Source organism: Homo sapiens, chromosome 22 (genome assembly GCF_000001405.40).
Source record: "Homo sapiens chromosome 22, GRCh38.p14 Primary Assembly".
In the NCBI taxonomy this organism is placed as follows: Eukaryota; Metazoa; Chordata; class Mammalia; order Primates; family Hominidae; genus Homo; species Homo sapiens.
In genome coordinates this window covers 11903892-11916934 of record NC_000022.11, presented here as the reverse complement: position 1 = coordinate 11916934, position 13043 = coordinate 11903892, and the positions used below count along the sequence as shown (strand labels likewise).

General features: G+C 42.3%; 1 long non-coding RNA gene across 1 annotated transcript in view; it reads right to left on the bottom strand.

The window, feature by feature from the left end:
- Nucleotides 1–13043, bottom strand: part of LOC102723769 (uncharacterized) — a 59129-nt gene that overhangs the window by 39600 nt on the left and 6486 nt on the right. Inside the window, exon 2 of the long non-coding RNA NR_110761.1 lies at nt 6716–6769. This is a non-coding gene — a long non-coding RNA (uncharacterized LOC102723769). The remainder of the gene's footprint in view (nt 1–6715; nt 6770–13043) is intronic.

Below are 13043 nucleotides of genomic sequence, written 5' to 3'. Positions count from 1 at the left end.
CCCTCCCACCCTATCCACCCCTTTTTCCCTTCCACCCTACCCACCCCTTTTTCCCTTCCACATACACCCCCACCCATCCATGATTAAATCACTCCCTCCCACTCCCTGTCATAATCTAATCCCTCCAAACCCTTCCAATCTTTGTTTGCTACCCACTACTGAGTCTGCTTCTACTTTTTCAGAAATCTGTATAGCAGGTTGGCTATGATGCAATAACAAAAATCCCATTTAAGGGGAAACATTCAGGAAGATTTCAGAAATTTGTATATAAAGAAGCCCTGTGCTAATAGCCAAAACAAAGGGAAAAAGGCCTTGAAGGCATTTCACAGCTCCTCTCTGCAGTTCTACTTTTCTGTATTATTGTAAATAAAAGAGGTGTAATTGACTCATGGTTCTGCAAGCTGTGAAGGAAGTATAGTGTCTTCTGTTTCTGGGAGGAATCAGGAAGCCTCCTCATTATATCAGAAAGCCAAGGGACAATGAGATGTCTCCTAAAGCAGGAGCAGGAGGATGAGATCTGTTAAACAACCAGATCTCATGGGAACTCACTCATTGTCAGGAGGATAGCATCAAGGTGATGGTTCTTTATCATTCGTGAAGTATCTACCTGCACCATTTTATGACTAAATCTTTTTCCACCTAGACCTTGCCTGTAACATTACAAAATATAATTCCACATGAGTTTTGGTAGGGACATAGACAAAAACCATATTATTCTGTCCTTGACCCGATGAATCTCATGTCCTTCTCACATTGCAAAATACAAACATGTCTTGCCAGCAGTCTCCCAAAGTCTTAACTTATTTCAGGATTAACTCAAAGTTATAAAGTCTAAAGTCTCATCTGGGTCAAGGCTACAGTCTCTTTTGCCTATGAGTCTCTGAAATAAAAAGCAGGCATTGTGTAAGCTTTCCATATCCAAAAGGAAGACATTTTCCAGAAAGCTTCTTATTTCTCTCTGAGACCTCCTCAGCCTGGCCTTCACTGTCCATGTTTCTGTCAGGATTTTTGTCACAACCATTGAACCAGACTCTAAGATGGTCCAAAAGTTTTCTCATCTGTCTTCTTTTGAGCCCTCCAAACTCTTCCAACCTCCGTCCATTACCTGGTTCCAAAGCTGCTTCCACATTTCCAAGTATCTTTAAAGCAACGCTCCAGTCCTCATTTGCCATTTTCTGTATGATTTATTTTGAAAAAGAGGTTTAATTGGCTCATGGTTCTAAGCACAGTGCTTCTGCTTCTAGGCCTCAGAAATCTTTCAATAATCATGGAAGGCAAAGAAAGAATCAATTGTCTCACATGGCAAGGGGAAAACACGGAGAGTGGGGAGGTGATATAGAGATTTCAGTGACTACATCTCATGAGAAGTCACTCATTATTGTGAGGATGGTACAAGGGGTGGGTGCTGAACCATTCATGAGAAATTTGCCTTCATAATTCAATCACCTTATACCAGGATCCACCTTCCACATTAGGAAATATAATTCAACATGAGATTCGGTGGGGACACATATTCAAATTGCATCATCAATCTTTGAATATAAAGACATCTACAGCAGGCTTTATCCAGCCAACTTCTTTGAGACTCTTTATAGAGTTTGAAGTCTAGAGCATATACACTAAAATATTCATACTTCAAAAAGCAATAAAGTGGTATTATCATTTTTCCAAAAGTTACAGCAGTAGTTTAGGCATTCATAGTATGATTTAGTTCACGATTGCTACTGTTTCTATTCTATCACCATATTAACTGTTTCCTATACAATTCTGTATTCAGCTGGATTTCAGTTGAGCACAAAACCATCCTTGTACTAGCTCTTTGCTAGTGTTATTATTCTGCTGTAGAAAGTATCCTTGAACTGGAAACCGTCCACGATCGAGTATCGAGGCATTCAACACTATCAATTCCTGGGTGACTTTTTGAAAAAGTAGTATCTCTTGTTGCAAGAAATGCTGCATCTGTGAGTCCATATCTCTCACTGGAATTGGATGGAAGTGGTGAATTTCAGCCAAAGTGGCCAAAGAAATCCTGTTCCTGTGATTCTGACGTCATCAGCCTCTGCACCTCTGTCTTCCCTTCTGCCACATGTTGCCTGCTCTCCATGACTTTGGTAAGAGCTTCCTTGTGTATGTGGATGATGTCCAGGATGTTGGTCTGGTGTCCCTGAGACAGCACTAACAGGTCTATGGCTGGGTCCAGGTCCTTCCTGGACTGACTGGCAAAGAGCTCACTGACAGAGTGGGAGGCATCTATACTGAAGTGGATGGCCTGGTCCAGCTCCAAGGCCTGGCTGAGGCTGAAGAAGAACTGTCAGGCTTCTGATGCTCTTTCTCAAATCCTGCCACCACTCATTGGCTGTGAAGTTGAGCTGAGTGCCCTGTTGTCCATCTTCTTGGTGAAGCACTTGAAGCTGTCAATCTTGCTCTTCCACTCCTAAAATTGAGTGTCACACTGGGGGTGGGCTCAGGGCCAGGAAGAATCTGGCACTCACCATCTCATCCTTCTCAGCCTTCCTCTTGCCCTGTCTCCAGGCTATCTCTTCAGTGCTGGTGGGGCACATCAGGAAGTGACAAAAAATGTGGCACTGCACCTGCATCCAGAAGCTGGCTGTGTGGTTCATCTACAAGATTGGGCCCTTTCTACACATGAACATAGATCCACTTCACCATAGATGCCTTCCTCACTGTCAGTGAGCTCTTTGCCCATCAACCCAGGCAGGATCTGGACCCAGTCATGGACCTGTTAGTGCTGTCTCAGGAACACCAGGCCAACATTCTGGACATCATCCACATACACAAGGAAGCTCTTACCAGAGTCCTCCTCAAGATGGCCTGTGGTCTGCCTCTTGGCACCCGAGAAGCCCACAGTGCTGTAGAAGCCCCGATGCTTGGACTGGAGACCCAAAGGCGGCACACACCCCAGTTCTGAGCCTGCTGCTCATTTCCTCTATGTGGCTCCATTTGCAGCACATTTGTTGCACTGAGGCCTGTGCATGCCAGGCAAAGCCAAGCTGGCTCAAAGAGCAACCACCCACCTCTGCAAGGGTGTGCCAGGAGCCAGTGGACCAGCCACCAACGTCACTCCCTGCCAGTCAGGGCAAATCAGTTTTTCTGCCCTGGAGGTGGAGCCCCAGTGCCATCTGCTTTTCCTCAGTCCTCCACTCCATCAGCTGTCAGGTGGTGGTCACTCAGACTGTGGGAAACTGGCCATCCCTGTTTCCTTGAGTGGGTGAGGTTGGTGACTGCTCCACCTGCTCCTGGCACACCCTTGCAGAGGTGGCTGGTTGCTCTTTGAGCCAGCTTGGCCTTGCCTGGCATGCACAGGCCCCAGGTACTGAGAAGCTGCTCCGAGTAAGTTTGTCTTGGGCCAAATTCTAAGTCTGGCCAGGGCCACAGAAGGCCGAGTCCCCTGGGTGGTAATCCTGGCTGCTGCAGGGGGGCCCATGGTGCCCCTCCCCTCCCAAGGCTCAGGATGAGGTCCGACTGGGACAGGATGCTTTAGGTATGGGACTTGTGCCCCAGGAGGGGACCTCTGTCACACACGTTGGGTGAGAATATGTATGGCATGCTGTTGGCTGCCAGGGCTGTTGGGATGCACGTTCACCCTTCCCTTCAGGGACCTCAAAGTGACCAGCTTCCCCTTTATGAATGACTTCCCAAGGCCCAGGAGCCATTTGGGGCTGCAGAGCAGCTGGCTGCAAGCTGCCCTGGCTTCTTCCATGTTGTGCTGGTCACTACCTACCAAGGGGGGTCAGATGCAGGCACAATGTAGGACGATTGTCTCTGGACGTGTGTCTTGGTTATCATGGAGCTAGACTGGGCCTGGTGACAGGGCCCTGATGGGGTTGTCCTGTGTGGTCACGGAGGTGATCAGAAAAGATGCAGAATGGAATTGCTGCGAGGATGAATGAGATGACTGTCAGCACATAACAGGCAGCTGGTGAGTGTTCAGGGATTACCCTCGGTAGCTGCCCAGAGGCCAAAACCATCCACCTGATAGTGACTTTTCCCAAGCCAGGAGGAAGAGAAAAGAGCAGGTCCCACTCACCTGAATCTGATCAGTGAGCTGTGTTGAGATGTGCCTCTCATCTAGAAAATGGTCCTTCACGCAGAGCTACTCACAGACACTGCTGTGTGTCTCTAACTGCTCCACAACACAGAGGCGATGGGGACTCAGCAACAGTGACATTGTGGGGTGACACAACCCACCACCATGGGAGTCTGCTTGGGTCAACAGGGCCCAGAGTCAGAGTCCTCTATCCCCTGAACTGACATGTGTGTATGCAATGTATTTGTGTATGCATGTGTGCCTGTGTGTGTGTGTGTGTGTGTGTATGTGTGTGTTTGTCTTGCTTCTCTGGACAGGCCTAGCTTCTCCACTCATGGGTGCACCCAGGTCCTCATCACTGTCACCTTAGAGCATTAGAGACTCTATAGGTGCTCCCCAATCTCTACCCTCCCCACCCATGGTGGTCCTGGGGATGCAGACAGAGGAGGGGCACTGCATAATGCTGAGAGGGCTGGCACCCTCTCTAGGTGGAACACAGGTCATTTGTAAAGTTGTAGGTCTGCCAAGCAGTATTGGATTCAACACATCTTCTCACCTTCTCTTTCCAGCCACCCTCCAGGGTGCCCCAACTCACTTTCCCTGCAGATGGAGGCAAGGAGGCTCCACAGACAACCCCCCTGCCTGAGGTCACATAGTGGCCAGCAGGCCAGGTACTGACCAACTGCCCCTGACCAGGTTCCCAGTGATGAGTGATGAGGCCCCTAATGACCACTCCTCCATTGACCAGGTCCCACTGATCAAGTCCCCACTGACCATGTCTTCCTAACCAGGCCCACACTTAATAGGCTTCATGGGCCAGACCCCACTGACCAATTTTCCACTGACCTGGTCCCCATTGACAAGACCGGGTTCCCACTGACAAGACCACAATTTACCAGGTTGCTGCTCACCCGACCCCCCACTGAACAATTCTCCATGAACGAGTACCCAGCTGACCGAGCCCCCTCTGACCAGGCCCTCACTGACCAGGCTCCAAGCCACTAAGGCCTCACACTGACCAGGCCCATGATATATCGTGTATGCCCCACCAACCAGTTTTTCATTGTTTATGTTCCAACAGATCAGGCCCCACTAATAAGGCCACCACTGACTAGGTTCCCCCACTGACCAGGCTTCCAATGGCTAGGTCACCAGGTCCCCACTGATGAGGCCTTTACTGAGGAGGCCGCCACTAACCAGGCCCCTGCTGATCATGTCCCAAATGACTAGGTCCTGATGACCAGGTCATCTCTGACCATGGTCCACTGACCAGGCCCCGGAGCAACGGGGCTCAAAGTCTCATTACAATGTCCCCCTCAGCTCATAGACCCTCCCTCCCTGCATGTGTGCCCAGAGGTCAGGCCCTGGGGTTTTTTTTGGGACATGGCCTTTCCTCCAAGACACAGGGAGAGACAGTTGGCCTCAGGCTCCAGGTTCCCAGCTCCACACTCACCCCAAAGGCCCTCTGGGCCCGTCTCAAAGGAGAAAGTGAGGTGGCCTGACACTGCCTGGACACACCATCTACCCTATTCCTGAGTGTCAGAGTGTGAGGAAGGGAGGGACATTTAGCAGATAAGGCACGCTGTGCTGTTGGGTCTCTCAGGGCCCTTCCCACAGAGCCCCGATCTAAAGACACAACACAGAGGCTACCGGAAGACTAATCCAGAACCTCTGAGACAGCCAGGGACCCCATGAGGACTCTCCCCAGACAGCCAGAAGGCCCTTTGCTAGTTTCTTGGCACCTCAGTGGATGTGGCAGTGGTTCTTCTGTTGGGGACCAGTGAGTACACACTGGGGAGGGCTCACCTGTGCTTCCTCAGTGTCTCCACCTCTGCTTCTAAAAAAAATGACTCATTCCAGAGCTGGCGCAGAGAAAATACAAGCTGAGCTTAGAACATCTTCTGCCAGAAAGTAAAAAAGTGCCGACAGAGTAATGGAGACAAATCAAAGAGACATAAAGTCAGCTTGGAATGTCTACTACTGGCCTAATCTTGGGGAATTGGAGCATCAGAATCATGAGCTTTCCTTCTCCCTTATTTATTGGTTTTATTTCTCCATGTAGAACAAAGAAGAGAATAAGAAAATAATCATCTGGTAACCATCATAGTAATAATTGTTCAAACACAAGTCATCCACGAAATGCTAAATCTAGTGGGTTCTGAGGAATAACCAGATATTTACAGAGCCTCAAAGTATCTCCATACCAAATACGGTTGAACTACAGAAAGAAAATTGTAACATTAGCATGGACAAACCTGGCAGGTACTCCTTAAGTCTCCTAAGTAATAAAAACTGTAAAATGCAAATAAGCCTTCGATGACCTTTACTAACCTTTACTAAAGTATCAATGATGACTTGGTTATTTAAACAGCTGACATTTGGGCAATTTGAGTATGTCAAACTCAATAATACTTGTTTTCATTTGCAAGATCCACTTAAAACTTAAGGAGGCCAAAAAACATCATTTAAAATACCCTATAAATTATAATCATACATATGATACAAAAATATCCTACTTCAGTAAATATTGGAATTTTATATATTTTATGAGAAACAATTAAAATGTGTAAATAGCCCAGTAATAAAGTTTTATAATCTTTTAAATCATCATACAATTTTTCCTTAAGACTTTATGGTTAAATATTCTCTTCATTAGATGTGGCTTACCCGTGGATTCCAGAGAAGAAAGTAGATGGGAGCAAGTGTCCAGTACAGCAACAGCTGGAAAGAAAAATAAAGAATTTTGTTCTTTACCTAAAACACTTCAGTTAACTAAGTGTGAGTTTAAAAACTAAAGACTTGAGAACTTTATCAGAGTTAATAAGAATGAGAAATATGTATGTACATTTACAATACAAAATTACTATTTAATAATTTACACATGGCATTAATTCTAATTGTGTTTAAATATCAGAGCTTTTTCAGTCTTCATTCATGTAATCAACAGCCACATGCTAAGGTACTCGAACCAGCACTGGAATTACAAGATGAAGATGGCATGGTCCACCTCTCAACAGTCATAAGCTATAATCTAAAAAACAGACAGGCAGGCAATGTCCATATAGAGTCATAGATACCATGACAGGTATACAGCAGGGCACTACTGGAACACAGAGAAGGGACATCTATCCACTTTTATGTCAATATCATGGGCTTTCTGGTGGAGGAGATAACATAGGTTGATACCTGAAGGACAAGGAAAAGCTTCCCAGATAGAGGAAAGAGGCAAAGGCAAAGAGCCTGAGGTGAGGAAGAGCCCTGCAGAGTTCCACTCCATCCAGTTTGGTGCTAGAGCAAAGGGCAGAGTGCAGTAAGTGGTGAGAAACAAGGCTGAGTAACTTGACAAGAATTACATTGACATGGGTGTTTTTATTTCATGGTGAAAAATTTGGAACTTTTCCTGAGAACAAGTGTAAGCCAATGACACAGTTAATTAGAGGAGATTTAAAATGTCACCTGTTAAGTGAGTGCTTATGAAGGGTTATTGCTCAGCTAAGTATTTCTGAATGAGTCTTAGGTCTGTTGGCCTTCAATCTCTACCAAAACCCTGAGAACTTGATGATGCTTTTGTTTTCTGAGAATCGTTTCAGTGTGCTGGCTGACAGTTCCATGAGGATGGCAAAACTTAAGAAAGTGTAGAACCAGTGAAAAAGAGATGCACAGACTTCTTGGGAACTGTTTAAGCTTTGGAACATGATGAATTTATGGTGCATAAGTACAGTCTTCTCTGTGAAAGTTTTTGTTTTCACATCTTTCATTAGAGGTGTGTAAGAAAAAAAATATTGATGTAGTATCTACTAACCCAAGAATGAAAAGGAATGCCATTTGCTATTTACACTTTATTTCTAAAATAAACCTAAATTTAATTAATAAATTTTGTCAACGTACTTCTCTTTGTTTCTCTAATTATTTATTCTACACAGTCCGGCCCCATCTAAAATAAGTAAAAATAATAATAATGTCTAAATTAAACAAGAAACATTATCATGAAAATCATGTATCACTTACAAAATGTGGCCTTTAGTATTTTTAGTGACTAGACATAACTTGAAGTTTGCTTAAATAGAAAAATAATCACATAAATAAAATAAAATTTCTACTTATTTTAAGTTTAGATAACAGAGGATGTATATGTGTAATGCTGTTTAGAGTAATCTGACAAAAATGCAGTTAATATTGATCTATTGCATATACATGATTTTAGAAAGGTAGTGTTTTATTAGTACAAAGGTTAAACAATGTCCAGGCATGGTGGCTCATACCTGTAATCCCAGCACTTGGGGAGGCCAAAGCAAGCAGATCACAAGGTCAGGAGATCGTGACCATCCTGGCCAACATGGGGAAACCCCATCTCTACTAAAAATACAAAAATTAGCTGGGCGTGGTGATGTGCACCTGTAGTCCCAGCTACTTGGGATACTAAGGCAGGAGAATTGCTTGAAGCCAGGAGGTGGAGGTTGCAGTGAGCCAAGACTGCATCACTGCACTCCAGCCTGGTGACAGAGTGAGACCCTGTCTCCCAAAAAAAAAAAAAAAAAAGATTAAGTAATTAAAGCCATCTTTTGCAATGAATGCATTGCTTTGAAATTCTTAGAAAACTCTGCCCTTTATAAAAGTTTAATCCATTTTTTACTTCAATAAATTTTATCTTAAAAAGAAATTTCTGTTCTCTACTTATAGTAAACTTTTCTTTTTTTTTCTAGTTTGTATTCTAAATTAACGTGGTACCTCTGTAAGTTTCTTCCAAAGGCATATCGATGGATACCGAGGTTTGCAGGTTGTGAGCATAGGACCCAAGAAGTAGTTTTTCAACCCTGGCCCACTCTGTCCCTCCCTGTTCTTACTTCCCAGTGTCTATTATTCCCACCTTTATGACAATGTGTACCCAATATGTAGTTCCCACATGAGTGAAAACATGAGATATTTGGTTTCTGTTTCTGCGTTGGTTTGCTTAGGAGAGTGGATTCCAGCTGTATTCATGTTGCTGCAAATGACGTGATTTTGTTCTTTTCATGGCTGCATAGTATTCCATGGTATATATGGAATTTTCCAATCTACCTTGGATTTTCAATCTACCTTGGATGTACCTGGATTGACTCCACGTCTTTGCTATTGTGAATAGTGCTGCAATGAACATACATGTGTATACATCTTTTTGTTACAATGATTTATTGTCCTTTCGGTATACCCCTAGTATAGTAATGGGGTTGCTGCATCCAACAGTCATTCTTAGTTCTTAATTTCCAAACTGCTCTCCATAGTAGCTGAATTAATTTACATTGCCACAAACGGTTTGTGTTCCCTTTTCTCCACAGCCTATCCCAACATCCTTTTTTAAGTTTTTATTTATTATTTGTTTTTAACAAAAGTCATTGTGACTGGTGTGAAATGGTATCTCACTGATGTTTTGTTTGGCATTTTTCTGATGATTAGCAATGGTAAGCATTTCTTAATGTTTGTTGGCCACTTACGTGTGTTATTTTGAGAACTGTCTGTTCATGTCCTTTGCCCATTTTTAATGGTCTTATTTATTTTTGGCTTGTTGATTTGTTTAGGTCTCTTATGGATTCTGGATAATAGGCGTTTGCTATATCCATACTTTGTGAATATTTTCTTCCATTCTTTTAGGCTGTCTGTTTAATCCCGTGATAGTTTCTCATGCTGTGCAGAAGCTATTTAGCTAAATTAGATCACACTTGTCAATTTTTGTTATTCTTGCAATTGCTTTTGAGGACTTAGCCATAAATTAATTGACAAATATGATATCCAGAAGAGTATTTCCTAGGTTTTCTTCCAGGATTTTTATAGTCAGAAGATGTACTCTTATGTAAGGAAAGCACAAACCTTTTTTTTGTTTTGTTTTGAGACAGAGTCTCCATCACCAAGGCTATAGTGCAGTGGTATGATCTTGGCTTACTGCAACCTCTGTCTCCTGGGTTCAAGTGATTCTCCTGCCTCAGCCTCCTGAGTATCTGAGATTACACATGCCTGCCAACACACCTTGCTAATTTTTGTATTTTTACTAGAGACAGGGTTCATCATGTTGGCCAGGCTGGTCTCAAACTCCTGACGTCAGGTGATTCACCTGCCTCGGCCTCCCCAAATTTTGGGATTACAAGTGTGAGCCACCATGCCTGGCCAAGCACAAAGCTTTTAACATAAAAATGGAAATGAACATTTTAGTGTTTTGTTTAATTCATAAAATGCAATTATTTTGGATTCTACTAAATAATAAACATCCATATGTGGCAAAGTGTTTGGATGCCAATCATTCATTTGTGATTATGGGTGGGAAGAATTGAGATGGTGCAAATAAACTTTTTAAAAATTTTTTTTTATTTTCAAGATGGAGTCTTGCCCTGTCACCCAGGCTGGAGTGCAGTGGTGCAATCTCAGCTCCTGCAACCTCCGTCTCCCAGGTTCAAGCAATTCTCTGCCTCAGCCTTCCTAGTAGCTGGGATTACAGGTGCCCACCACCACACCAGGCTAATTTTTTTTTTTTTGTACTTTTAGTAGAGATGGGGTTTCACCATCTTGGCCAGGATGGTCTTGAACTCCTGACCTCGTGATACACCTGCCTCAGCCTCCCAAAGTGCTGGGATTACAGGAATGAGCCATCACACCTGGCTGGTGCAAAGAAACTTTAAAAGTGGCATGGGCCGGGTGCGGTGGCTCATGCCTGTAATCCCAGCACTTTGAGAGGCTCAGACAGGCAGATCACAAGGTCAGGAGTTCAAGAAGAGCCTGGCCAATATGGTGAAACCCTGTCTCTACTAAAAATGCAAACATTAGCTGGGTGTAATGGTGGGTGCTTGTAGTCTCAGCTACTCAGGAGGCTGAGGCAGGAGAATCACTTGAACCCGGGAGGTGGAGGTTGCAGTGAGTGGAGATGGCACCAAGACACTCCAGCCTGGATGACAGAGTGAGACACTGCCTCAAAAAAAAGAAAAAAAAAATGTGGTATGAACCACAGCTAAACTACAATCAATTAGAGAGTAAGCCAAAACATCTCAAAGTATATCATCAGTTATCAGGCAATAACATGCAATTTCTAAAACCTAACTTAAATGCAGCTTTTAAAGACATTTCAAACGTGTCAGTTTAGTCACATTTATTGAATAAAGTTAGCAAATGGATATCTCTTGAAAATGAGAGCTCCAGGGAATTAAAAAATGTAAAGTTCCCATTTCCTTTCTGTGTTAACACAGCTAATTATGATCTTTACTTCACATGCAAAAGTCAACAGAACAACTCAGTATTTCACCAAATTATAAACAAGAATTACGCTAGAGAAATGAAACCCTAAAGAGAAACGGTCATATAACTAACCTCAGTCAAGTAGTTCTGGCAGTTATTTGAAGTCTGAGGTTTGAAGTAGGAATTCTTATGGGCATTTGGGGAATATATTTTCTGTTGAGTCCTATACTAGTAAGATTTTCAACACAAGGTGACTCTTGACCTTGCCTTCTAGGAAGAGTGCTGAGAAAATATTTCACCTGCTCTTTCTCCATAAAGAGCTGATACTGATCATTGCTATTTTCTTATTCGATCTGTAAAGATAGCAAAGACAAATGTTTAATATTTCATTTTTCCTTAAATGATTCTTAATGACTTTCAGTTTTTAAAAACTTACCCTGAGAGTAAACCAAATTACCCACTAAATAGTGTTTTCACACAGAAGATGTGTAATAGCATACCTGTTGTAAGGAATTATAATTTTAAAATCGTTCTAAAGAAGCACCATTGTTTCTAAGGTGATTTCTACTGAACAAGCAGTTCAAACAAAGTAGACAGGGAAGAGAAATGACTATCAGTGATGTATGGCTCAACAGGTAAAACTTCCTGCCTTCTAAAATGGCTCTACTTGTAAGATTCTGAAGATTCCATTAGAAATACTTGTATTTAAAGGGTAATAATGTGGGAAAATGAATATGTTGATTTGCTTGATTATAAGAACCACTTCACTAGAAATAATTATATCAAAACATCATGTTATACTCCTTAATGTAGGTTAAGAAAACTAAAATGAACGAAAAAAAATCTAGGAATACTTGTGTTTAGTAAACCAGTTTTAGATTTCACTTTTGTACATTTCACCCATTATCTAGGACCAATTAAACATTTGGCACTGAGGAATAATTCAGAGCAACAACTCCTAGGGGAGAACTAGATTGTCTGGTTGGTGATCAAAAAGAACTAAAGCATCTCTGAAGGCAATTAGTCCCCAACACTGTGACCAAGGCCCTGGAGGTGGGGCATGTTCTTTCTGCCTTCCACACACCGCTTCAGGCTGAACAAGGTGTTATTTTTTAACCTCTTTGTGAATTACACTTCTTTAAATTCCTGTGATAATTATTCCCTATTTCACAAGGGTGCCTTTCTGTAACATCTTGAATATGTTACACAAATAGTCTTTCTTGAGGCACCCTCTGGTGATAATACTAAAGATCACAATCAAAAACAATTGTGCCCAGAGTAACAGTACCACTTTGCATTTAGGTTGTGATCCACTGAAAAGTAAATTAAACACATTAATATTTCTATTTAGGGAAATTCTGACAAGTAATTTTATAACAAGATCACTTCATTAATTATAAAGCTTCAGAAATACTTAGTGAAAAAAACTAACAGATCAGGTTAATTACATGAGACTTTTCAGGAAAAAAAGCCATACAAAAGCAAAAAAAAAATGAGAGGAGAGACAAAAACTATCTTTGACTAACATTTTAAAGGTAAAATTATTTACTCACATTATTTTTCAAAATTACATTGTCAAATTAGCATTCACTTCCTTCTAATCTCCTGAAGCCATCTCACTAAAAATTATGCTTTTGAAACAAATTAATGAGCTTAATTCATTTTCTATGAGTGTATGTTTTGACTTACTTAGTTAATTTTTTTGACATGGAACTATTAGCTTTCAATGCTGCTGCAAAGGCTTCCTTATATTCTTCTAACTCAGTTGTAACCTCTTCATAAGCAGTTTTCATTTTGT